Below are 24,905 nucleotides of genomic sequence, written 5' to 3' on the forward strand. Positions count from 1 at the left end.
AGAGCCTCGGGCGCGGCGGGAGCGCAGTTAGAGCCGATCTCCCGCGCCCCGAGGTTGCTCCTCTCCGAGGTCTCCCGCGGCCCAAGTTCTCCGCGCCCCGAGGTCTCCGCGCCCCGAGGTCTCCGCGGCCCGAGGTCTCCGCCCGCACCATGCGGCTGGGCAGGTGAGCCGGGGAAGGAGCGGAGGCGCCGCGGTCAGGGGCGGGGTGGCTCGGCCCGCGCGTCCCCAGCTCGGCTCGGACGCGGGGCCTGCGGGGCTCGCCTGGAGGTGCCGGGCTGGCAGTGCGGGTCCGAGGAGCGGGCGGCGGAGGCGCCGGGGCGGCCGGCGGGGCGTGGACGGCAGTGGGCGGCGGGGCCTGGCACCGGGACCCATGGCAGGACGCACAGCCGTGCGGGGGCGGGCTCGGGGGCGGGGTCCCTGCCAGGGAAGGAGGACCGCGAACGCTGGAAGGAGGGAGGGAAGGCGGGCGCACCCTGCACGCCGGGGCACGGGCGCTGCCCCTTCCACTCCCTGGCACTGCTGATTTCCTAGAAGAAGGGAGAAGGAGGGAGGTGACCGGCCGAGCGCTCTCCAAGGCCAGCTGGTGCCCACGGTCTGCGGACACGCCCTCCCCCACACACGTGGGATTCCCCGCAGCCCGGCAGCCGATCCACACTGGGGAAGGCGGGGCTGCCTGAACCAGGAGTGACAGCTTCCTCCTGGATTTTTGCGAAAATATCCAAAATATACTCTTCGCAACCCACGTTGTAGGGTCCGCAGCCTGTGCTCCCCTGGGTGAACCTGTGAGGCCCCTGACCCCAGGGATGCCTCCCGCACAGCTCAGAGCTGGGCCACACCGGAGTCACACTCCCCAGGTCCCCTCCCCATTAGAAGTGTATGCAGTTATGATCCTGCCCTAGAGAGAAAGAATTTAAAGGTCCCGGAATGTCATAGCCCTCCCAAATGTCTTAGCCCTCCGCCACCCACACCTTCAGGTAGGCGGCCCTGTCCATGCTGGGTCTTGAGGCAAGCTCGGGGTGGGGGTAGGTTAGATGCAGGGGTGCTGAGGGTCCAAGGAAAGGACACAGAGGCCGCTGCTTAGGCAGCACCCAGGGAGGGGACAAGCCAGAAACAGCCTGGAGCAGGCACCCCCCACCCTGGCCCAGGAAGCCCCCAGATGTCCTGAGGAGGCCTCCATAGACAGGAGGGGCCTTGTGGGCTGGTGATGAATATGGGCACTGTGGGAGACAAATGGGGGCACAGAGGAGTTCTCACAGCTGTCGTTTAGATGGTGGCTCTGGGGAAATGCTTGAAGGGGCTAAGGGTGGAGGCAGGGGGCCTGCTGGAGGCCATCACAGCCATCTTGCCAGCCAGAATGGTGGCCCCAACAGGGGGAGTGGGAGAGAGAGGAAGGGCCGCCTGCAGACTTCAAGAGCCCCTGGTGGCCAGGGGCCGCCTTGGTGCATGTGTGCTCACTTGGCACAGACACACCTCCATGCAGACTCAGATGACAGCCATCGTGGGTGGGGCAGGGGTTTCTGTGGCTCCAGGGCTCAGGGACAGCCCACTGGGAGGTTCCCACAAGACCAACCTTTGACTTACAAAGCCCCCAAGCTTTCCCAGGCAGAGGCCACAGAGAAGAGGGATGAGCGTCTCCCAGACCTTGGAGGTGCAGGGACATCAGAGAAGGAGATGTCCCTGCTCCTGGGGCTCTTGCTTCATGGGGAGCTGGCCCCAGAAACTGATGGTTTGGGGGGCTGGGGTAAGCACTGCTACCAAAGTGGTCCCGGCCACTAAGGGCCCCCACGTGGGGAAGGCATCCTGGGGGCTGGCGGGAGGAGGTGGCGAGCCTGTGGCGTGCAGGGTGCAAAGGCTCCCAGACCCAAGATGGCAGGGGCATTGGAGTCACGAGGGGAATTTGCTGCCCGAGGCAGGGGCACCAGCTGCAGCAGGATCTGAAACAGGAGGAGCTCAGGTTTGGTTTCAAAATGATCCGCGTTCCGCACAGGGCTGTCCCGTCACTCACCTGACCCTGTCACGGGCACGCCTGATGTTCTCCGTCTCCCCAGCATTTTAAGTGACACTCCTACTATATGTGCCCTGAAAGCTTTTTTTTTTTTTTTTTTTTCTGATTTCCTACAACTTCTTGGCATCTGTCCCCAGGAAGGCTAGACCAGCCTCACTGGCGTCCCTCGCTCCCCTTCATCCTCACGCCAGCATCACTGTGTTTCTGGGGATTTGTTACCGCGAGAGCTAGAGAGTGGTGAGAGGCTGCCAGCCCCTCGGACTTGCTGTGCTGGGCAGGAGGGTGGTGGTCCTGGCCCCGGACCCCGAATTCCCATGGAGAACAGAGGCAGGCAGGCTCCTGGCTCTGCCTTCACATTTCTGTGATGGGCTTAACTACCTCCTGCTCATGGGAACCAGCCTGTTCCTGTTTGGAAGATACAGGTAACTCCCTGGTGGCCCCGCCTCACCTGCCTTTCTGGTTGTTTTTTCCAGTCCTGGACTGCTCTTCCTGCTCTTCAGCAGCCTTCGAGCTGGTAAGTTCAGGGGGTGCTTTGCCATGGGGCGCCCAGCTCAGAGATGGGCTCTCCGGCTGTGTGGACTGCTGGCCGCAGGGCACTGGGAGCAGCCTCACCAGGCTCCTTCTTGCTTCTCAAGTGGTCCTTTGGAGACAGTTGGACCCTAAACCTAGGTTGCTGCACAGGATAGAAGCGTTTCCTTAAAGGGAAACACTTCTGCAAACTCCGGAGTTCTTGTTTGACTCCGTCTTTGTTGCGGGCAGAATGCAGTTCCTCTGAGCCAGGGCTTCCTGGGTCCCCTGGTCTCCCTGTCCCAGGCAGCAGCCCTGCTGAGCCCTAAGAGCCACCAGCCTCTGGAAGAGCCAGGAATAAGGACGAAGCACCGCAGCACAAACCTGAAACCTTGCCAAGCCTTCCAGCCCAGAGGGCTTTGGGGGCAGGGGACACACACAGATTTTCCTGCAGGTGCCAGGTGCAGTGGCTCACTCCTGTAATCCCAGGACTTTGGGAGGCCAAGGCGGGTGGATCACCTGAGGTCAGGAGTTCGAGACCAGGCTGGCCAACATAGTGAAGCCCGATCTCTACTAAAAATACAAAAAATTAGCTGGGCATGGTGGCGGGCACCTGTAATCCCAGCTACTTGGGAGGGTGAGGCAGGAGAATGGCGTGAACCCCAGAGTCGGGGGTTGCAGTGAGCTGAGATCACGCCATTGCACCCCAGCCTGGGTGACGGAGCAAGACTCCATCTCAAAAAAAAAGATTTTCCCACAGGCATTTACGTAGCTGCACAAACAGTAAAGCTACCCTGTGTCTGCCACATTTGTGACAGCTTTCCTACTGCAAGTGAGCAGCAATATAATGTAATTGCTGAGAAATTCTTTTCCCTTAAATGCCTTTCCCTTAAAGAACTTTTTATTGTGCATTAATTATAGACTCCCGAGAAGTAGTAAAAGTAGTGCTGAGTAACAAAAATAACACTGAGCGGCCAGGCCCCATCCAGCCGCTCCTCCCCATGGCAGCCCCTTACATAACAGGAGTGTGTCATCGAAGCCAAAGACTGACATGGACCTCACCATGAAATGTCTGCGTTTTTCAAGTTTGACTGCATTCCTACATGTGCCTTGTTAATAAATTCTGAGCCACCGTTGGTGTTTGAGGCTTGAAACCCAAAGTCTGCCCCATAGAGTAGCTTCATGGCCTGGGCATCAGCCTCCGAAAACAGATTTTGCACCTTTTGGGCCATTGCAGATACTCAGGAGAAGGAAGTCAGAGCGATGGTAGGCAGCGACGTGGAGCTCAGCTGCGCTTGCCCTGAAGGAAGCCGTTTTGATTTAAATGATGTTTACGTATATTGGCAAACCAGTGAGTCGAAAACCGTGGTGACCTACCACATCCCACAGAACAGCTCCTTGGAAAACGTGGACAGCCGCTACCGGAACCGAGCCCTGATGTCACCGGCCGGCATGCTGCGGGGCGACTTCTCCCTGCGCTTGTTCAACGTCACCCCCCAGGACGAGCAGAAGTTTCACTGCCTGGTGTTGAGCCAATCCCTGGGATTCCAGGAGGTTTTGAGCGTTGAGGTTACACTGCATGTGGCAGGTAGGACCATCGAGGCGGGGAGAGCTAGGTCCATCCCAGCCTCACATCGTGGACAAGTGTTCATGAAACCCCCTCCCTGGCTCATTCACTGTTTCTTCCAGTGAAGAAAATTCTCATCTGTGTTATCAGGCTTCTGTCTAACTTCGAGGGAAACTAAACAGCTGAAAAATCCTTAGTGCATGACCTGCGGCTGCTTGGTTTCCCGGAAGAGCTCCTACCCTTGCTGTCTTTGCCTCTTGAGTTAGTTAGCTTTTGTTTTTGTTTTTGTTTTTTGAGACGGAGTCTCGCTCTGTCACCCAGGCTGCAGTGCAGTGGCACAATCTTGGCTCACCGCAACCCCCGCCTCCTGGGTTCAAGCAATTCTCCACAGCCTCCCGAGTAGCTGGGACTACAGGCGCGTGCCACCACACCCAGCTAATTTTTGTATTTTTAGTAGAGACAGGGTTTCACCATGTTGGCCAGGCTGGTCTCAAATTCCTGGCCTCGTGATCCGCCCGCCTCAGCCTCCCAAAGTGCTGGGATTACAGGTGTGAGCCACCGCGCCTGGCCAATTAGTTTGTTTTTTGAGACAGGGTCTCACTGTTGCCCAGGCTGGAGTGCAGTAGCGTGATCACGCTGCAGCCTTGACCTCCTGAGCTCAAGCAATTCTCCTGCTTCAGCCTCCTGAGTATCTGGGACTACAGGCACATGCCACCTCGCCTGGCTAATTTTGATTATTTGTAGAAATGGGGTCTCACTATGTTGCCCAGGCTGGTCTCAAACTCCTGGACACAAGCGATCCTCCTGCCTCACCCTCCCAAAGTGCTGTGATTACAGGCGTGAGCCACCACATCCAAACTAGAGTTTTAAAAGTGAAATTTGAAGGGAACTCTATAAAGCACTAAATGAGAACAAAATTTAAGAGAAAAATAAGAGGCAACCAAGGAGCTCTGGGCAGTTCATTGGGGAGAACAGCTGTGTCCATTTCAGATGGACTGTGAGCCCCTGTGTCAGCAGTGAGAATGACCAGATCCAAATGAGGGGGTCCCGGCACAGCCGACGGCTGTGGAGTGGGGGGTCTGTGGGTGCCAGTCACTGCCCGACAGGCTCAGCGGTCCCTGGCTACTGGGACTGGCTTGGGGGATGACTCTTGGGCAGGACAGGGCGGAGCCTGCTGCTCGGACCACAGCCCTGGTCCTGGCCTGTCACCCATGTCGGGGCACAATGGGCCGCCTCCCCTCTGACCCAGCCTTGGCACCGTGTACCCTCTGTTTCTTGACCAGCAGGGTCTGGCATCTCTCACAATCTGTTTCCCTCCCCTGCAGCAAACTTCAGCGTGCCCGTCGTCAGCGCCCCCCACAGCCCCTCCCAGGATGAGCTCACCTTCACGTGTACATCCATAAACGGCTACCCCAGGCCCAACGTGTACTGGATCAATAAGACGGACAACAGCCTGCTGGACCAGGCTCTGCAGAATGACACCGTCTTCTTGAACATGCGGGGCTTGTATGACGTGGTCAGCGTGCTGAGGATCGCACGGACCCCCAGCGTGAACATTGGCTGCTGCATAGAGAACGTGCTTCTGCAGCAGAACCTGACTGTCGGCAGCCAGACAGGTAAGGTCCCGGCGCCTGCGTGCTGAGCTGTGCCCGACAGTGGGGCCAGGGCTGGCTTGGGAGAGCCTCTGAGGTAGGAGACAAAAAGTCCCTTCGACGCGGCTCAGCACCCGAAAGGTGGTTGGAAGGGAGGGGAGGTGAGAGGCACATGCCGCACAGTGAGAACCACCGCGGTCTCTGGGAACAGGAATGGGTGCCGTGCCCAGTGCATATTGCTCCATTTTCTTCACCTGGAGTCGGTTTTCTTAAACCTACTTTACAGATGAGGGCTGAACTCTGAGGCTGGGTAACACTTCAGAAGCCGCAGCACTAGGCAGCAGCAGCCCAGAACAGAAGCCCACAGCTGTGCAGCCCCCACCCAAGCTCCCTGCCTCTTGGGCGTGTGTCCCCTGAGAAGACTGAAGCCCCCAGACACGGGAATCCCACTGCGCACGGCTGCTGGCCCAGCCCCTCCCTGTGGAAGGGGTGCCCTGTGGAAGGGGTTCCTCTACGGGGACTCCTTTGTAGAGGACACAGGCCCTCCCCATTTGTGTCCCCATCTCCTGTGTCAGGATGAGAGGCAGAAGATGGAGGCAGGAGATGATCGAGGAGGGGTCCTGGGGCCCTGCTGGCTGCAGGAAAGGGGCTGCCAGCAGGACTCACCGTGTGGCCCTGGGCAAAGCAAGAATGCAGGGCTCCTTGTTTCGGGAGCATTAAGAATTCCAGACAGTGACCACAAGCATTGCACCTCCTGCCGGCCTTTCTGAGCTCAACCCCAGAAGCCTGCACAGGTCATACCCTCGAAGTCCACCCTGGCCGCCAGGATCCCCGGCAGAGCCGGACCTTCTCCTTCTTGAAATCAGGGCTCAGCCCTTCTGACTCAACATTCAGAGTGTCTGAGCTGCATGCAGCGGGATGAGGGGCTGCTCCCAAAGCAGCCTCTGATAACTGCCTTCCAGCCAGCATACTCCCCGCAGAGCAGCCCAGGTGGCAGCAGAAGCTTCTCCCAGGGCTGTCGTCTCAACCCCGGCCACACAGTGGGGTCATCTGGGCAGCCTATGAAAGCCCCCATGCCCAGACCCATTGCACCTGAAGCTCTGGGCTGGCACCTGGCATCGGGACAGTGTCTAAAAGCTTCAGAGGTTCAAGGTTGAGCACCGTCCAGGTGGTTTCTCCAAGTGTGTTTGGAGACGCGCCGGGCATTCAGAACAAGCTCCCAGGGGGATGCCGCTGCTTGTTTGCCGGTGAGGACGGCTCTCTGAAGGGCACTGCACACAGAGACCAGAGGCATTGTTAGCTTTGTGCATCGTGGCGGAAAAGCAGAAGGGCGCAGCTGCCATGGGGAACGTTGTGGCAGTTCCTCGAAAAGCTCAGCGTGGAAGCACTGCAGGACCCAGCAGTTCTCTCCTAGCGATATAGGCCAGAGGATTCAGAACAGGGACTCAAACAAATGCCTGTCCGTGAATGTTCATGGCAGCCAGAAGGTAGGAACCACCCGAGTGTTCCTCGTGGGTGGACGGATGCACCAAACGTGATCCATGCGTGCAGGGGAGAATTAGCCTGAAAAAGGAAGGAGGCCGCTGTCCTGACGCACGCTGCGGCGTGGAGAACCTCAAGGCCATTATGCGAGTGACAGAGCCAGACACCTGAGGACAAGCCTGTGGGACTCTGTTTATGCAAAGTGTCCAGAATAGGGTGAGCCACTGAGACACAAAGCAACTGGAGGCTTCTGGTGCAGGAGGACAGCAATTCTCCTGCCTCAGCCTCCTGAGTATCTGGGACTACAGGCACATGCACCTCGCCTGGCTAATTTTGATTATTTGTAGCGATGGGGCCTCACTGTGTTGCCCAGGCTAGATTCAAGCTCCTGGACACAAGCGATGCTCCTGCCTAAGCCTCCCAAAGTGCTGAGATTACAGGTGTGAGCCACCACGTCCAAGCTAGAGTTTTAAAAGTGAAATTTGAAGGGAGTGCCATGAAGCACTAAATGAGAACAAAATTTAAGAGAAAAATTAGAGGCCCCAGCTGTTCTGAGACCCCCTCATTTGGATCTGCTCCTTCTTGCTGCTGACACGGGCTCACAGTCCATCTGAAATGGACACGACCATTCTCCCCGATGAACTGCCCAGAAAGACAGCAGACGGCAGGGAAGAGTGGGGAGTGACTGCTCATGGACACAAGGTTCCCTTTTGGGGGTTACAGGTCCTGGAATTAGGTGGTGGTTATGATGGCACTGGCACCCTGAATTGTTCACTTTAAAATGGTTCATTTTGGGCCGGGAGGGGTGGCTCACACCTGATCCTAGCACTTCGGGAGGCTGAGGTGGGTGGATCATCTGAGGTCAGGAATTTGAGACCAGCCTAGACAACATGGCGAAACCCCTTCTCTACTAAACATACAAAAATTAGCCAGGTGTGGTGGCATGTGCCTGTAATCCCAGCTACCCGGGAGGCTGAGGCAGGAGAATTGCTGGAACCTGGGAGGCGGAGGCTGCAGTGAGCCGAGACCGCACCACTACACTCCAGAGTGGGTGACAGAGGAAGACTGTGTCTCAAAAAAGTAAATAAATAAATAAAGCATAAAGTGGCTCATTTTGGCTGGGCAAGGTGGTGCACACCTATAGTTGCAGCTACTTAGGAGGCTGAGGCAAGAGGATCACTTAAGCCCTAAGACCAACCAGAGCAATATAGTGAGATCTCATCTCTACCAAAAAAAAAATTAGCCAGGCCTGGTGGTGCACGCCTGCAGTCCCGGCTACTTGGGAGGCCGAGGTGGGAGAACTGATTGAGCCCAGGAGGTCGAGGCTGCGGTGACCTATGATCACACCGCTGCACTTCAGCCTGGGCAACACAGCAAGACCCTGTCTCAAAAGCTCAATAAATAAAATGAAATGGTTAATTTTATGTTATGTGGCTTTCACCTTTTTTTTTTTTTTTTTTTTTTGAGACGGAATTTCACTCTTGTTGCCCAGGCTGGAGTACAATGGCGCGATCTCGGCTCACCGCAACCTCTGCCTCCCGGGTTCAAGCAATTCTGCCTCAGCCTCCCGAGTAGCTGGGATTACAGGCATGCACCACCACACCTGGCTAATTTTGTATTTTTAGTAGAGACAAGGTTTCTGCATGTTGGCCAGGTGTGTCTCAAATTCCCAACCCCAGGTGATCCACCCGCCTTGGCCTCTCAAAGTGCTGGGATTACAGGCGTGAGCCACCGTGCCTGACCTCACTTTGATTTTTAAAAATCCAGTAAGGGCCGGACGCGGTGACTCATGCCTGTAATCCCAGCATTTTGGGAGGCCGAGGTGGGTGGATCACAAGGTCAGGAGATCGAGACCATCCTGGATAACATGGTGAAACTCCGTCTCTACTAAAAAAATACAAAAAATTAGCTAGGCATGGTGGTGGGCACCTGTAGTCCCAGCTACTCGGGAGGCTGAGGCAGGAGAATGGCGTGAACCCAGGAGGCAGAGCTTGCAGTGAGCCAAGATCACGCCACTGCACTCCAGCGTGGGCAACAGAGCAAGACTCTGCCTCAAAAAAAAAGAAAAAAAAAATCCAGTAAGAACCTGTGCTTCCCACCATACCCAGCCCTATGGTCCCCTGGCTGTGGTTGGGGTTATCGCCCCTCCCAGGTAGGACGAGGAGGAACAAGATCCCTGCAGGAAATGAAGCCCCTCTGCAAGAGAAAACCCTCATCTCATCAGTTTGGTGTTTTTAAAACCTCAAAATCATGTCAGGGAAGTTCTCTGGAATAAATACTTCCCTGCAACACTTTCTACTCAAGGATGAAAAAAAAGACCCTTTTCCTCTAAGATCCTTTAAGTCGGGTTATTTTCCTCTTTCTTGTAGGAAATGACATCGGAGAGAGAGACAAGATCACAGAGAATCCAGTCAGTACCGGCGAGAAAAACGCGGCCACGTGGAGCATCCTGGCTGTCCTGTGCCTGCTTGTGGTCGTGGCGGTGGCCATAGGCTGGGTGTGCAGGGACCGATGCCTCCAACACAGCTATGCAGGTAGAGACGGCCCCATATTGTGGATGTTAGTGTTTGTCCTGTTGGTGTGAATGTTTGCCTGCTTTAACTTCCCTCACTGATACTGATTTAGCTTGAAACTTTATTGTGGTAGGCTGGGCACGGTGGCTCACGCCTGTAATCCCAGCACTTTGGGAGGCCGAGGCGAGTGGATCACGAGATCAGGAGATCGAGACCATCCTGGCTAACACGGTGAAACCCCGTCTCTACTAAAAATACAAAAAATTAGCCGGGCGTGTGGCAGGCGCCTGTAGTCCCAGCTACTCATGAGGCTGAGGCAGGAGAATGGCGTGAACCCGGGAGGCGGGGCTTGCAGTGAGCCGAGATCACGCCACTACACTCCACCCTGGGCGACAGAGCAAGACTCTGTCCCCCCCAAAAAAACAAAGGAACTTTGTTGTGGTAGCACTAATATTCATGAGGCTTAGCAACCCGAACTATCCCACAAAGTGGTTTTGAAACCCAGCATCTCTGACATTCCTGACACTGCCAAGCCAGAAGGGCGCTGCGAGGTCTGCCCTGCAGGTCGGGTGGGCAGGGTGGCTTCTGCATGTAGAGGCCGGGGTGGTGGTCATTTCCAGGGAAGCCGCTGAGGCTGCCTTGAGCACTCCTGCCCTGTGGGTCTGTGACTCTGGCCAGCTCCGCGACAGAGCCCGGAGGTCTGTGTTTCAGCCATGTAAGACACAGCAGCAGGACGCAGTGGCGCAGGAAGCCCTGAACGTTGGCTGCAGTGATGGTCCTGATGACGGGGGGGGCTCTTCCCAGAACCCCCCAAGGGTGGCAGTCAATGGAGTGCAGGCGCAGTGGCCACGGAGTAGGGGCGGCTCCTGTGGGCTGCCCCTGGCTTTCCCATTTGTGGCCAATCTCAGTCATCCCAGAAACATCTTCCACGGCCATGATGCCACTGCTGGCTGGGCCGCAGAAGGGCCCCAGATCCAGGTCACAGCATTTTAAGTGCTTCCCAGGCACGTACCCCTTTAAGAGGATCTTTCTCAAAAGCCACGTGGCCTGGGGAGCCCCTCATCTGTGAGTGTTTTCCCCGCCTGGAGCTGGGAGCCTCGGGGAGACTTCCAAGTAGGGTGTTTAGGGGGCTGCTGAGAGCTCAGGAACACCAGGGGCTTTAGGGACACCCCCCGTCGCTGCTGCCCTGACCATTTTGGTTTGTCCTCCAGGTGCCTGGGCTGTGAGTCCGGAGACAGAGCTCACTGGTGAGTTTGCCGTGGGAAGCAGCAGGTTCTGGGGGGCCCAGGGGAGGCTTGGCTGCCAGCTGTCTTTCAGAGTTTCAAAAAACTTTCAGAAGGCAGAAGTCCCTTGCCTTGAACAACTGTTGTTCCTGGAGACGCAGCGAAGCCCTCGATGGTGCGCACGGCATTTCCTGCAGCCTCCCCTTGGCATGGGATGGCATCCTGGTGTGCACTTTGTCACACTGCGATGGGATTTTCCCAACATGCACAGAAGCAGAGAGACGAGTGCTAGACTCCCGCGCTCCCCAGTGCCCAGCCCCGACCAGGGTGTCCAGGGCGGGTCCAGGCACCGGCGCCCAGCCCCCATGGGGTGTCCGGAGTGGGTCCAGGCACCGGCGCCCAGCCCCCGTGGGGTGTCCAGGGCGGGTCCAGGCACCGGCGCCCAGCCCCCGTGGGGTGTCCAGGGCGGGTCCAGGCACCGGCGCCCAGCCCCCATGGGGTGTCCGGAGTGGGTCCAGGCACCGGCGCCCAGCCCCCGTGGGGTGTGCAGGGCGGGTCCAGGCACCGGCGCCCAGCCCCTGTGGGGTGTCCGGAGCGGGTCCGGGCACCGCCAGCTTCTCTCTGTGGCAGCCACTCCTGCAGCTCTCGTTTGCCCCTCAGTTCCAGGAGCAACATAGATGTGGATTCCTGTCCAATTTGGGAAAAATGTCCACACACGGTCACCCACCTGGCAGGTGCCTCTGGCTGCAAGGGGCGCTGGGCTTCGCAGGCAGGCCAGCCGGGCTCCCCGCCATGGGCCAGGATCCCCTCCGAGCCCTGTTTGCCGCCCAGGAGAAGGGGTTCCCCGGGGACAGTGGGCTCAGGGTGTGCGCAGCCACCACGCTGTGGTGTCACCTGTGGACCCAGGCGAGCTGATGGCCGACCGCAGAAACGCACTTCCAAGGCCAGGTCGGCCCATCCAGATGATGCAGGAACACAGCTTGCTAAAAACACGGCCGGCCTGTTCCCGTCGGAGCCAGTCGAAGTTCCCTGAACAGGCCGCTGTTTCCGAAGCTTTAAACCCTGTGTTTCCACCAAGCTGAGTCCTGAGAAAACCGGCGTCTGCCTGCAGAAGGGAAAGGGGTGCTTCATGTTCCTCTCTCTCCTTCATCTCCCTTCCAAGGCCACGTTTGACCGGAGCTCACCGCCCAGAGCGTGGACAGGGCTTCCGTGAGACGCCACCGTGAGAGGCCAGGTGGCAGCTTGAGCATGGACTCCCAGACTGCAGGGGAGCACTTGGGGCAGCCCCCAGAAGGACCACTGCTGGATCCCAGGGAGAACCTGCTGGCGTTGGCTGTGATCCTGGAATGAGGCCCTTTCAAAAGCGTCATCCACACCAAAGGCAAATGTCCCCAAGTGAGTGGGCTCCCCGCTGTCACTGCCAGTCACCCACAGGAAGGGACTGGTGATGGGCTGTCTCTACCCGGAGCGTGCGGGATTCAGCACCAGGCTCTTCCCAGTACCCCAGACCCACTGTGGGTCTTCCCGTGGGATGCGGGATCCTGAGACCGAAGGGTGTTTGGTTTAAAAAGAAGACTGGGCGTCCGCTCTTCCAGGACGGCCTCTGTGCTGCTGGGGTCACGCGAGGCTGTTTGCAGGGGACACGGTCACAGGAGCTCTTCTGCCCTGAACGCTCCCAACCTGCCTCCCGCCCGGAAGCCACAGGACCCACTCATGTGTGTGCCCACAAGTGTAGTTAGCCGTCCACACCGAGGAGCCCCCGGAAGTCCCCACTGGGCTTCAGTGTCCTCTGCCACATTCCCTGGGAGGAACAATGTCCCTCGGCTGTTCCGGTGAAAAGTTGAGCCACCTTTGGAAGACGCACGGGTGGAGTTTGCCAGAAGAAAGGCTGTGCCAGGGCCGTGTTTGGCTACAGGGGCTGCCGGGGCTCTTGGCTCTGCAGCGAGAAAGACACAGCCCAGCAGGGCTGGAGACGCCCATGTCCAGCAGGCGCAGGCCTGGCAACACGGTCCCCAGAGTCCTGAGCAGCAGTTAGGTGCATGGAGAGGGTATCACCTGGTGGCCACAGTCCCCCTTCTCACCTCAGCAATGATCCCCAAAGTGAGAGGTGGCTCCCCCGGCCCCCACCACCCTCAGCAGCCCCACCCCACTCAACCCTGAGGGTCCCCAGGGTCCTGATGAAGACCTCCGACCCCAGCGCCAGGCTCCTCGGAGCCCAACAGTCCCAAGGGGGCAGTGCTGAGGGGTACAGCCCTGGGCCCTGACCAGCCCCGGCACCTGCCATGCTGGTTCCCGGAATGAATCAGCTGCTGACTGTCTCCAGAAGGGCTGGAAAGGATGCTGCCAGGTGACCCGAGGTGCACTCGCCCCAGGGAGATGGAGTAGACAGCCTGGCCTGGCCCTCGGGACACATTGTCTGCCCCGGGGCTATGGGCAAATGCCCCTCCTTCTTACTTCCCAGAATCCCCTGACATTCCCAGGGTCAGCCAGGACCTGTTACAGCCCTGGTCACTTGGAACTGACAGCTGTGTGAGGCCTGCACTTCTCAGACCCAGACTTAGAACAAAAGGAGGAGTGAGGACTCAAGGCTACAATGAGGTTCCAGTACTTGTTACAAGAAATTGGTTTTCTGCAAAAAAAGTCCCTACCTGGGCCTTTAGGTGAATGTGGGATCCACTCCCGCTTTTAACATGAAAGCATTAGAAGATGTGTGGTGTTTATAAAAGAACAGTTGTCATCACCGGGCATTGATTGGCAGGGACAAGGAGCTGCTTGGGTGTGGAAAGTTGGGGCGTTGGAAAGTGGGCTGTGGTGCCCATTTGCAGTGACTGTGAAGTGACTCCAGGACGGACCTGCGGGGGCACCCAGAGATCCTAAGCCCCAGGACTGAGGGTCGTGCATCACCACTCGGGTGTCCCGGGAGGTGCCCTGGGCCCGGGGACCTCACAGGCAGGACGGCGACACTAATGCAGGGAGAGGGAGTCTGGCCCCAGCTTTTCCTATCAGAGGCGATTTTCCTTCACCAGGGGATGGGCAGGAAAGAGGCAGGGGCCCCAGAAGCTTCTGTCCCTCATGCCTGAGGGCACGGGGGACACTTGGAGGCTGCTGTCACCACTGTGCGTCCAAGGCCATGCTCTCTGCGGGTCAGTGCCTGAGTCTCGCCTCCCTGCTGGTCCCTGAAGCCCCCTCAGAAGCCCTGCCTGTCACGTCGGCATTTGTGAGACCTACCCTGTAACGCCTGCCCCTCTCAGCCCAACATCAGCTTCCTCTTTCTCCCTTGCTGTAGACAGGCTGGATTCCAGTGTTGGGACAGCCATCTCCAGAAACCTGACTTAAGAGAGTAAGATGCAAATCGTGCCTGTATCCAGTGGCTTCGGTGGGTGCAGGGAGTCTTGGGCACAGCCAGCTCAGCTGTCTGTGGTATGAGCAGGAACAGGTGCCACTCCTGCTCAGGGGACCCTGCCCTACACCAGGCTGTTCCGTCCCCCTGGAGGACATGGGGCCAGGTCTGGAGGCATTTTGGGTTGTCACAGCTGGGGGCTGTTCCTCGGCTTCAGCGGGTGGAAGCCTCAGATGCTGTTCAACATCTTCTGGACACGGGAGGCCCCGACAGAGAGAAGCGTCCACCCGCAAGTCCACAGTCTGAGGTCTCCCCTCAGAGACCCTGCCCTGCACACCCACCTCCAGCCAAAGGTCCTGCCTGCCCCAGGGCTCAGGGGAACCTTGCCGGTCTGTGGAACAGGAGAGGGGACTCTCGCCAGCTGCACCACCCTGCACGTAGTAGGTGTGCGGTAAACATCCACCAGGGAGGCTCCATTCAAGGCTGGCAGATGGGGCGGTCCATCCCTAGGGCAGGTGACAGAAGGGAAAAGGCTGCCTGCTGGCCCCCGAGCCAGGTAGCACATGCTTGTGCCTCAGTTTCCCCTCCTGTAAAGTGAGGCGCTGGATCCAGGTTCTGTCTACTGGGCTCTGCAGCTTGGACGCTCCTAAGACCAAGCGACCCACCCTGGGGAGGGCAGCTATGGCTTTGGAATAGCTGTCCAGGCCCGGGTGCCTCCAAGACGGCCACCACACCCTGCCTGTGCTGCAGGGGTGCAGGGGTAAGGGGCAAGACTCCAGAGGCCTCCTCTCTGCATCTCCTTGTCTTCAGTGGCCGGAGGTGAGGCCTGAGCTCAGGGGAGGGGCTTCTGCCACGAACCCTATGGCGGGGCACAGCACACTTTTCCCAGGGAGGACCCCTGGGCCCCCTGCATTATCCCCAGCGGAGTGTGGGGTCACCTTCCAAGAGCGACATTGAGAAGCTCCAGCTCTAGGAGTGTGCAGACTCTTAACCAGGCAGGCCCAGGCCCTGGGGCACACAAAGGCGGGGCCTGCTCTCCCCAGCTGCCCCTGCCAATGGGGGCTGGACTGTCCTACCCTCCTCCCTTCTACCTCCCCACTGTCTTCCCTCTCCACTGTCACCACTGCCTCCCTCTTCCACTGTCCTCCATGCACTGCCCTCCCTCCACCTTCCCCCACCCCCACCACTCCCCATGCTGTCCCCAGGCTCCCCCCGCTCTCCCCCCTCCCCACTGTCCCCCTCCCCATGCTGTCCCCAGCTCACCCCGCTCTCCCCCCTCCCCACTGTCCCCCTCCCCATGCTGTACCCAGCTCACCCCGCTCTCCCCTCTCCCCACTGTCCCCCCTCCCACTCCCCATGCTGTCCCCAGCTCACCCTACATGGACTTGGCGATGTCCTTCCATGGCTCACCGGTCTGAATTTCCATGATGAGCCGGGCCTGCAGCTTTGCTCCCCTATCCCTGCCCAGGCTGCAGCCATCCATGCAGGGAGCGAGCTCCAGCACCTGCGGAGTCCTTCCGTGGGGGCCTCTCCGTGCCACAGCAGCCAGGGACCTCAGGTGCCTGTGCATGACACCACCGCCCATCCTCATCCTGAGCCAGCCTCTCAGGATCAGGACTTGGTTTGGCGGCGTTAACCTTAGAGCCTGCAAGGGGCTTCCTCCTGGTGGGTCTGGCCGTAGCCTGGGGAGGCCACAGCTCCAGGCCACTCCAGACCTCCCTTCCTCTGGGCCTTCCATGTGGTGGCAACCACCGCAGCTGTAAGGGAGGGAAAATGGAGCGTTTGTTCTCGGGCTGGGCTGGGGTCTGGGGGAAGCCATGGGCGTGAAGACTGGGGTATTATTTGATGGAGAAGCGGCCACTCCTGGAGACCGGCGGCAAACACAGAAGCACAGCGTGGAAGGTGCTGGTGTCAGCCCACACGGGTGATGGGGTCAGACTCAGGAGTCACACTCAGGAGTCACCAGGCTCAAAGGGCCCAGGCACCGCAAGTCCTGCTCAGCCCCAGACACAATGCATTCCTGTTGCCCTCGCCCTCAGCCAGGCCCCACGCAGGCCAGGGAGCACTGGCAAAGCTTGGCAACCCTCTGGGGGCCAGCCTTCATCCAGGCCGAAGGTGGTCAGTGGCCCACCATGGCCCAGGTAGAAAACTCACGGATTAAGATTTCATGCCCGACTCCAAAGGCAAGAGACTTTATTATTTTATTTTTTTTGAGCCAGAGTATCGCTCTGTCACCTAGGCTGGAGTGCAATCTCTGCTCATTGCAACATCTGCCTCCCGGACTCAAGCAATTCTGCCTCAGCCTCCCAAGTAGCTGGGATTACAGGTGTGCGCCACCATGCCCAGGTAATTGTTGTATTTTTAGTAGAGACAGGGTTTCACCATGTTGGTCAGGCTGGTTTCAAACTCCTGACCTCAAATGATCTGCCCACCTCGACCTCCCAAAGTGCTGGGATTACAGGTGCGAGCCACCGCACCTGGCTACCAGACACTTCAGAGTTACAGGTTAGTTTTTCTTTTTCTTTTATTTTTTTTTTTTGGCGGAGGTGCAGGGGGAGTTAAACAAACAAACAAAATAAACAGGCCGGGTGCGGTGGCTCATGCCTGTAATCCCAGCACTTTAGGAGGCCTAGGTGGGTGGATCACGAGATCAGGGGTTCAAGACCAGCCTGGCCGAGATGGTAAAACCCCGTCTCCACTAAAAATACAAAAATTGGCCAGGCACGGTGGCTCACACCTGTAATCCCAGTACTTTGGGAGGCTGAGGTGGGCAGATCACCTGAGGTCAGGAGTTCAAGACCAACCTGACCAACATGGAGAAACCCCATCTCTACTAAAAATACAAAATTAGCCAGGTGTGGTGGTGCATGCCTGTAATTCCAGCTACTCGGGAGGCTGAGGCAGGAGAATTGCTTGAACCCAGGAGGCAGAGGTTGCAGTGGGCCAAGATGGCGCCATTGCACTCCAGCCTGGGAACAAGAGCGAAACTCTGACTAAAAAAGAAAGAAAGAAAGAAAAAAATTAGTTGGGCACGGTGGCAGGCGCCTGTAATCCCAGGTACTCAGGAGGCTGAGGCAGGAGAATTGCTTGAACCCGGGAGGCAGAGGTCGCAGTGAGCCGAGATTGCACCACTGCCCTCCAGCCTGGGTGACAGAGCAAGACTCCGTCTCAAAAAAAAAAAAAAAAAAAATTGGATACATTGTAATACCTCAAATACTTGTAAGTGAAGCACCCCAGTTCCCATAGAGCTGCCGCACTCAGAGGCTTCTGTAACCTGCCTGCTCCCAGCATTCTATTTAGGGTCTGGTATGTCCAGAATTTGCAGACACAGCAATTCCTGCAGCAGCAGTGCACCATGTGGAAGGGGCCCCATGACCAGCCCACTGTGAGCTCACACGTGATGACTGAGGCTTCTTCACACAGCAGGGCTCTGGGTGTGATACCCAGGGCACACGCGTTTGCACAGGCACAGGCCACACAAGTTCTCACATGCTCAGCCCCATAAGCCGTGCTGGACAGGCATGGCCATTTACACCCAGGATCCTGCTGAGAACAGCAACCAACTCACCACCCTCGCATCATGATCCTTGCCACACAGGGGCTCTGGTGGCTTTGGTGGCCTGGGCTGTGGCTCTGCTGCCAGCCACCTTGAGTGAAGATCCGGGTTCTCTGGGTGCTACTCAGCTGCTATGTGGGGAGCTGGCCCCTGGGGTGATGAGGGCCCTTCCCAACCCGCCCTCAGCCCTTGGACAGCCAGGATCACCCGGGGCTGTCTGCATACAGACTTCTCAGGGGAGTTCTCAGCTTGGACCCTTATCTCCCCAGAATCCTGGAACCTGCTCCTTCTGCTCTCGTGACTGACTGTGTTCTCTATGCAACTTCCAATAAAACCTCTTCATTTGAAAGGAAAAAAGTCTGCATTATCTGTTTAGGAAGGGAGAGAGTTCATATTGCAATCTTTTTTTTTTTAATAAAAATAATCTCAGCCTGGGCAACATGGTGAGACCCCATCTCTGTAAAACATTTTTAAAAAATTAGCCGGGTATGGTGGCGCACACTTGTAGTCCCAGCTACTCAGGAGGCTGAAGCGGGAGGATCCATTGAACCTGAGAAGTCGAAGCTGCAGTGAGCTGTGATTGTGCCACTGTACTCCAGCCTGGACAACAGAGTGAGACGCCGTCTCAAATAAATAAATACATAAATAAAGGACTCTGAAGCCTTATTACCATGGTTCACTCTAAGTATTTTTGCTCTGAGGTGTGCTTCCATACATAACTTTCATTATGCCCATTAGGGTCCATAACTATAAAAATCCACAATTAAGTCATATTTTATATGCTAATTTGTCAGCCCGCCATGGTGGCTCACGCCTATAATCCCAGCACTTTGGGAAGCCAAGACGGGAGGATCGCTTGAGTGTAGGCGTTTGAGACCAGCTTGGGCAACATTGTGAAACCCTCTCTCTACAAAAAATACAAAAATTAGCTGGTTGTGGCGGCATGTGCCTGTAATCCCAGCTACTCAGGAAGCTAAGGTGGGAGGATCAGCTGAGCCCAGGGGTGTCGAGGCTGCAGTGAGCCATGGTTGTGCCACTGCACTCCAGCCTCGGTGACAGAGCAAGGCCCTATCTCTAAATAAATAAATAAATAAATAAAAATTAAAAACAGGCCGGTGCGGTGGCTCACGCCTGTAATCCCAGTGCTTTGGGAGGCCGAGGCGGGCAGATCACGGGGTCAGGAGATCGAGACCATCCTGGCTAACACGGTGAAACCCCATCTCTACTAAAAATACAAAAAATTAGCCGGGCGTGGTGGCGGGCGCCTGTAGTTCCAGCTACTCAGGAGGCTGAGGCAAGAGAATGGTGTGAACCTGGGAGGCGGAGCTTGCAGTGAGCCGAGATGGCACCACTGTACTCCAGCCTGGGTGACAGAGCGAGACTCCGTCTAAAAAAAAAAAAAAAAAAAAATTAAAAATAATTTGTCAATTGGCTGGGTGCGGTCCTGTAATCCTAGCACTTTGGGAGGCCGAGGTGGGCGGATCACCTGAGGTCAGGAGTTTGAGACTAGCCTGGGCAATATGGTGAAGCCCTATCTATACTAAAAATACAAAAGTTAACCAGGTGTGGTGGCGGGCGCCTGTAATCCAAGCTACTCAGGAGGCTGAGGCAGGAGAATTGCTTAAAACCGGGAGACAAAGGTTGCAATGAGCTGAGATCACGCCACTGCACTCCAGCCTGGGTGAGAGAGGGAGACTCCATCTCAACAACAACAAAAAAGTCAAGATAACATTTTTCTTAGGTATTCCCCTAATTTAGGTATTTAGAAATAATACCCTATGGTTGGATAAATCCAGATAATTACCAGATAGAGATTGGATATTGTCGAACATTATTGTTCAAATAATCTTTCATTTCTGCCAAGAAATCCTTTTGAGTAATTTGTGTTTGATCGAATTGCTTTTAACCAAATCATCTGTATTTTTTTCTTCTTTTACACATTACCCATATCCCTTTTTCCTGAACCCAGAATTCAATCACTTTGACCCTCTCTGCCTCTCATTCTCCCAAGCCACCCACAGGTGACAATCTTCACTTTAATTTGTCCTCTGCAGGGATCGAAATGGGAAAAACCCGGCCAGGTAAGCAGGCAGGGAGGACAGGCTGGAGTCGGGTGTGGGGAGTCAGCCACTGAGGTCAGGAGCCCTGCAGGCAGCAAGCCACCCGGGCTTAGGAGGGATGGTTTAGAAAGTATCAACAAAGGCTGGAAACAGTGGCTCACGCCTGTAATTCCAGCACTTTGGGAGGCTGAGGCAGGTGGATCATCTGAGGTCAGGCGTTCAAGACCAGCCTGGCCAACATGGCGAAACCCCATCTCTACAAAACTACAAAAAAGTTAGCCAGGCATGATGGTGGGTGCCTGTCATCCCAGCTACTCGGGAGGCTGAGGCAGGAGAATCATGGTGGCTGCTGAGGCAGCAGAACAAGGCTGTTCTGCTCTGCGGTTTGTGGGTTTGACACTCGTGGCCCAGGAGGCGGAGGTTGCAGCGCAGTGCAGTGGCCGAGATCGCGCCACGAGCCTGGGCAACAGAGCAAGACTCCATCTGAAAAAAAAAAAAGTATCAACGATGAAATTATCGACGATGGGGTAACCCCGGGAACCTCTCTGCCTCCACCGTGAAGAAGCATCAAGCAGAACCCGGCTGTGTGCAAGGGAGTCACATGCCTTCGGAAGAGCCCAGGTCTGGGCACAGCTGCCTGCTCAGACCAGAGGGAGGCCTGCCATGCCCCAGGAAGGCACTGGCTTGGAGTTTTTCTTCATTGTGAAGAATCACGATGACGAATTAGAATCAGTGAGTTTGGCACGAATGAGGTGCTTCCTCCAGGACGTTGCTGGAGGGCGCTGCTATAGCTGGCATCCCGGCCTGGAGGCACTTCCCCTCTCATTCTTCTCAGGAGTCAGTCCTGACTGAGACCTGCTCCCAGGGCAGGACTCTGGGCTTCAGGAGCGTGGTCCTGAGCCGCAGGGACATGGTGGCTGGTCTGCAACAGGCTTCCCATCCCGTGGACATGTGGACACTCCAGAGCCCTGGAATTTCAGCAACATCAGCCAACGGCCACAGGGACAACCACAGTAAAGCCAGCCTGCCAGCAGAAAAGTAACAGACTGAGCTAAAATCACCTCTGGAACTTCCTGTCTACCTGGACACCTGTCTACAGGGCCTGAGAGAGGAACTGACACTTTCTCCTCCAGCAGAGCCATGTCAGGAAGGAGCCTCTCCGGCAAAGGCTGCCCAGGCCCACCCGGACTCCACTCAGAGCCTGAGCCCTTGGTTCCCGTGAAGCTCTGAGGGCAGGTTGGCAGCCACAACACTGGGCCAGGACCCAAGATGGGGCAGGCCAGGCCCTCCACCAAGGGCCCAGACCCTCTATGCAAATGCAGGCCATGCCTGTGTGCAGCCAGGGGCCCCTGGGAGAATGCAGTGAGGAAGGGCAGGTGGATGTGCTTGGACTGAGACAGAAAGCTCCAGGGTGACGCTTGCCATGAGCGTGGGCACGACCCTCCTCCTCTTCCTCCTCCTCCTCCTCCTCTTCCTCCTCCTCCTCCTCTTCCTCCTCCTCCTCTTTCTTTTCCTTCTCTTCCAGGCACTTCCCCTGCAGCTGCAGTGGGAGGTGTTTCCAGATGCTGGAATGTGCTCCTGGGGCAGCAGCTCCCTGCCTGCTGGAGTCTCCTGGGCTCCTCTGCTGGGCTGTGCACACAGCACTGATCTTAGGGCACAGCCGGTGGGGAGGCCACACAGGGGAATCCTCCTGTGGCACTGGGGATAAAGGTCCTGTCTTCCAGCCGGGGGCAACTCCATCCAGTGTGGCCTAAGGCAAAACTTGGAATCCATGTTGACTGATTTTTGAGATGGTGTTTTGCGAACAGTAAAGGGATAGGCAAAGTTCTTGTTGTAAGCCACTCAGGCACCCTCCTGACAGAAGCCTGGGGATTCCGGAGGTAAAAGCTGTAAGGTTGGGAGTGGACCCTGGAGCCCACTCCCCCGACCCCCGACCCTCAATGAGGTTCTTTAGAAGACTGTGCCCTGGGGCTGCCCACACAGCCAGGCACTCTAGGGCCTGGGAAGACACTGCTCTCCCGTGCATGTCGGGGACACAGGCTTTCGTCCTCAGCAGTTGTGCAGGTCAGGTGGGGACTCAGGGAAGGCAGCCGGGCTGGGTGAGAGCTTAGACAGAGACAATGACCAGCCACAAGATGCAGTTAAACAAATACACAAACCTGCTTTCCAATGGTTTACAATGGATTCTGAACAGCCCGGGGCCCCAGAACAGCTAGATTCCTCACTCCTCTCCATTCTCAGGCCAACCTGTGGTCTCATTTTATAAAAAAGAGATTGGGCTGGTTTACTCAGCCAAGAAACATCGAAGAGATGGTACCTAAAACCAAGGGCTTTGGATCATCTGTCTGGCCCAGGGCGTCCCACCTCCCTGCCTCTGACAGGACTTCCCACCTCCCCGCCTCTGACTTCAGTTGGGAAGAGGATGGTGGCGGGAGATGGAGGATGAGGCCCTCCTCATCTGCTTGGCCAAGGCTGTTCTGCTCTGCGGTTTGTGGGTTTGACACTCGTGGCCTTGAAAGCAAGCCTCCCGGCCCAGCCTCCATCTTCCTGACAGTAGTGCTGCCTGTGAGTATTTGCATGGCACGGCAAAGTCACAGCTCAGCAGACACTCCTGATAACACTCTTAACAACACCATGCACAGGGGAGGGTGAGCACACTGCCCTTCTGGAGACCAGGAAACTCCCCGAAGCCTCAGGGTGATTGACCTGCCCCTGCCACGCCCCTAATAGCTCCATCTTCTCACTCCACCTTCCTGCCTCTTTCTGAGTCGTGGTTCCAGGTGCCTGCCTGCCCTGGGTGAGTGAAGCCACCAGTACACACCCAGTCACATTAGAACTGCCCAGTTCCATCCCAGGCCAGTGTAAACCAAAAATAAAACCCGAAGTCCCCAGCCAACTGAAGTGACCCCCGCTTGGCCATGTCCACCCCAGAGAAGCCTGAAAAACCTCCTCCTGGGTGGTCGCACAGGCCTCGTTATGTCACCGAGCAGCTCAGCTTCGAACTGTGTTTTAACACGGCCTTTCTTTCCTCCTTTCTCCCCAGTCTCAAGACATGGCTTTGAGCAAACTACAGATGTGCTTCCTTTCATCTTGAAATCCAGCCTGGGAGCAAGCTGTGAGCCTACTGCCTTCCCTCTCCCACCTGCAGCTCCCGGGCCCTGTGCACATTTGTTTATCTGGATGCTTGCTGAGTGCACACCATGCTCACCTGTCTGGTCATCTATTTCCTAGAAGCTTTGGGGGCCAGATCCTGGGACGAACCAGGCATCTCCAGAATTCCTTCCCCAGCAGGCGGGTTACTTTGAGGCCAGAGCTTACTCCTGGCTAAAGACTCACTGCAAGATTGACTGTGATTGATTTCTAATCTGGGGGCGACCCGCGATGGCGCAGCCCCTTCACCAGATGTGTTTGTGGTGGAAGTTATCCAAGTGACACGGCACCAAAACCTGTGATCGGTGGCAAATCCGTACAGGTCTGCGGCAGCCGCAATTCTCACCTCCTCAGAAGAAAGAATTCGACCAAGGGGCAGAAGGCAGAAGAAGAGACCGAGACAAGTTTTAGAGCAGGAGTGACATTTATTAAAAAGCTTTAGAGCAGGAATGAAAGGAAGGAAAGGACGCTTGGAAGGGGGCCAAGCAGGTGACTTGAAGGACAGGTGTGTGGTTTGACCTTCGACTTGGGGTTTTATATGTTGGCACGCTTCCGGGGTCTGGCCTGCCTTCTCCCCTGATTCTTCCCTTGGGGTGGGCTGTCCACATGTGCAGTGGCTGCCAGCCCTTGGGAGGAGCACGCGCTATGTGTTTACTGGAGTTGCGCGCCTGCTTACCTGAGGCGTTGTTCCCTTACCTGTCAAATGTCCCTAGGAGGCCATAGACCAGTTACACTCCACAATTTTGCCTTTTAATACACATGCTTGAGCCCACTCACCCAATGCCTGAGGTCTTATGGGGAAGGATTTTTCTGTCTGTTGGGAGGCTGCCTTTCCCTGGCGTTGGCTGTGACCAATTATTATTTTAGAGAGACAGTTAACAGCCACCCGACCAACACTGATGGTCGCCTGACATTCCTGGTTGGGAGGGCCCTCTCCTGCCCTGCTCATGTCTGACCAGCTGCCTACTGTAACAGATGGAACAATAACTCAAGAGAAGCCATCAGAGCAGGTCACCTGGCACCTCCTGGCCCCTGCCTCGCCTGCATTCCAGACCCCCTCTACACGTCCCTCTACAAATTGAAGAGTGGCCATTTTTGGAAAGGATTCCGGCCAATCTCCCCCTTGCTAGCATGAGAATGAAGCTCACGCTCTTTCTTTTTTCTTTCTTTTCTTTTTTTTTTTGAGACGGAGTCTCGCTCTGTCACCCCGGCTGGAGTGTAGTGGCGTGATCTCGGCTCACTGCAAGCTCCGCCTCCCGGGTTCACACCATTCTTCTGCCTCAGCCTCCTGAGTAGCTGGGACTACAGGCGCCCGCCACCGCGCCCGGCTAATTTTTTGTATTTTTAGTAGAGACGGGGTTTCACCGTGTTAGCCAGGATGGTGTCGATCTCCTGACATCGTGATCTGCCCGCCTCGGCCTCCCAAAGTGCTGGGATTACAGGTGTGAGCCACCGCGCCCGGCAGCTCACTCTCTTTCTATCACGCCCCACTCTTGTCATCGTGGCTTCTTTTTAAGCGGTGAGCAGCCAGACCTTTGCTGGTTACAGCCACAACCCTCCCTTTCAGAGTTGAGGCACAGCTGGCCAGTCCTGACATTAAAATCAGGATCCTAAGACGGATGGAACACACTCTATGTGGCAATAAGACACCAAATTCCAGCCTGACTCTGGTATAGCATCACGTGACGGATAGCAGACTCTGAAGGAAATGAGAATATTTTGCCTTAAAATATATTTCTTTGACATATTTTGAAAGGGTCCCACAGAACCATCCTTTCTCAGAGAAACTAGCACCCATAGAGAATCTCCACGAATGCAGCCAGGACTTCCTCTTCTAGTACTTTCCAGACCTAGGAGAGATTAACTGAGGGCCTGACACCTTTAAGGTCTGAAAAGGGACATTTGCCATC

General features: G+C 56.5%; 1 protein-coding gene across 11 annotated transcripts, besides 1 other annotated feature; it reads left to right on the plus strand.

Moving 5' to 3' along the window:
- LOC102723996 (ICOS ligand) lies at positions 1 to 24,153 on the plus strand. 11 transcript variants are annotated; one of them, XM_047440643.1, is made up of 8 exons: positions 1 to 163; positions 2,143 to 2,242; positions 2,479 to 2,519; positions 3,750 to 4,100; positions 5,405 to 5,695; positions 9,523 to 9,687; positions 10,878 to 10,913; positions 22,889 to 24,153. In XM_047440643.1, the coding sequence occupies exons 4-8, from the start codon at positions 3,776 to 3,778 to the stop codon at positions 23,074 to 23,076; spliced, it is 1,005 nt and encodes a 334-aa protein (XP_047296599.1). In that variant the 5' UTR covers positions 1 to 163; positions 2,143 to 2,242; positions 2,479 to 2,519; positions 3,750 to 3,775; the 3' UTR covers positions 23,077 to 24,153. The 11 variants fall into 11 exon arrangements, with proteins under 11 accessions (XP_047296599.1, XP_047296602.1, XP_047296603.1 ...); XM_047440646.1 differs by lacking the exon at positions 22,889 to 24,153 and adding an exon at positions 11,550 to 18,142; XM_047440647.1 differs by lacking the exon at positions 22,889 to 24,153 and adding an exon at positions 12,052 to 14,241.
- Positions 1 to 24,905: part of a sequence alteration artifact (region identified as an assembly artifact by the Genome Reference Consortium. This region falsely duplicates sequence located at GRCh38 chr21:44095806-44253496) that runs on past both edges of the window.

The sequence above is a fragment of the Homo sapiens genome, chromosome 21, assembly GCF_000001405.40.
Source record: "Homo sapiens chromosome 21, GRCh38.p14 Primary Assembly".
Lineage (NCBI taxonomy): Eukaryota > Metazoa > Chordata > Mammalia > Primates > Hominidae > Homo > Homo sapiens.

What these genes read in the sequence shown, in the direction of transcription:
- LOC102723996 (XM_006723899.3), top strand. An exon ending in CTTCAGCAGCCTTCGAGCTG is followed by an intron (nt 2,520 to 3,749) that starts GTAAGTTCAGGG and finishes GGGCCATTGCAG; the next exon opens with ATACTCAGGAGAAGGAAGTC. An exon ending in GACTGTCGGCAGCCAGACAG is followed by an intron (nt 5,696 to 9,522) that starts GTAAGGTCCCGG and finishes TCTTTCTTGTAG; the next exon opens with GAAATGACATCGGAGAGAGA.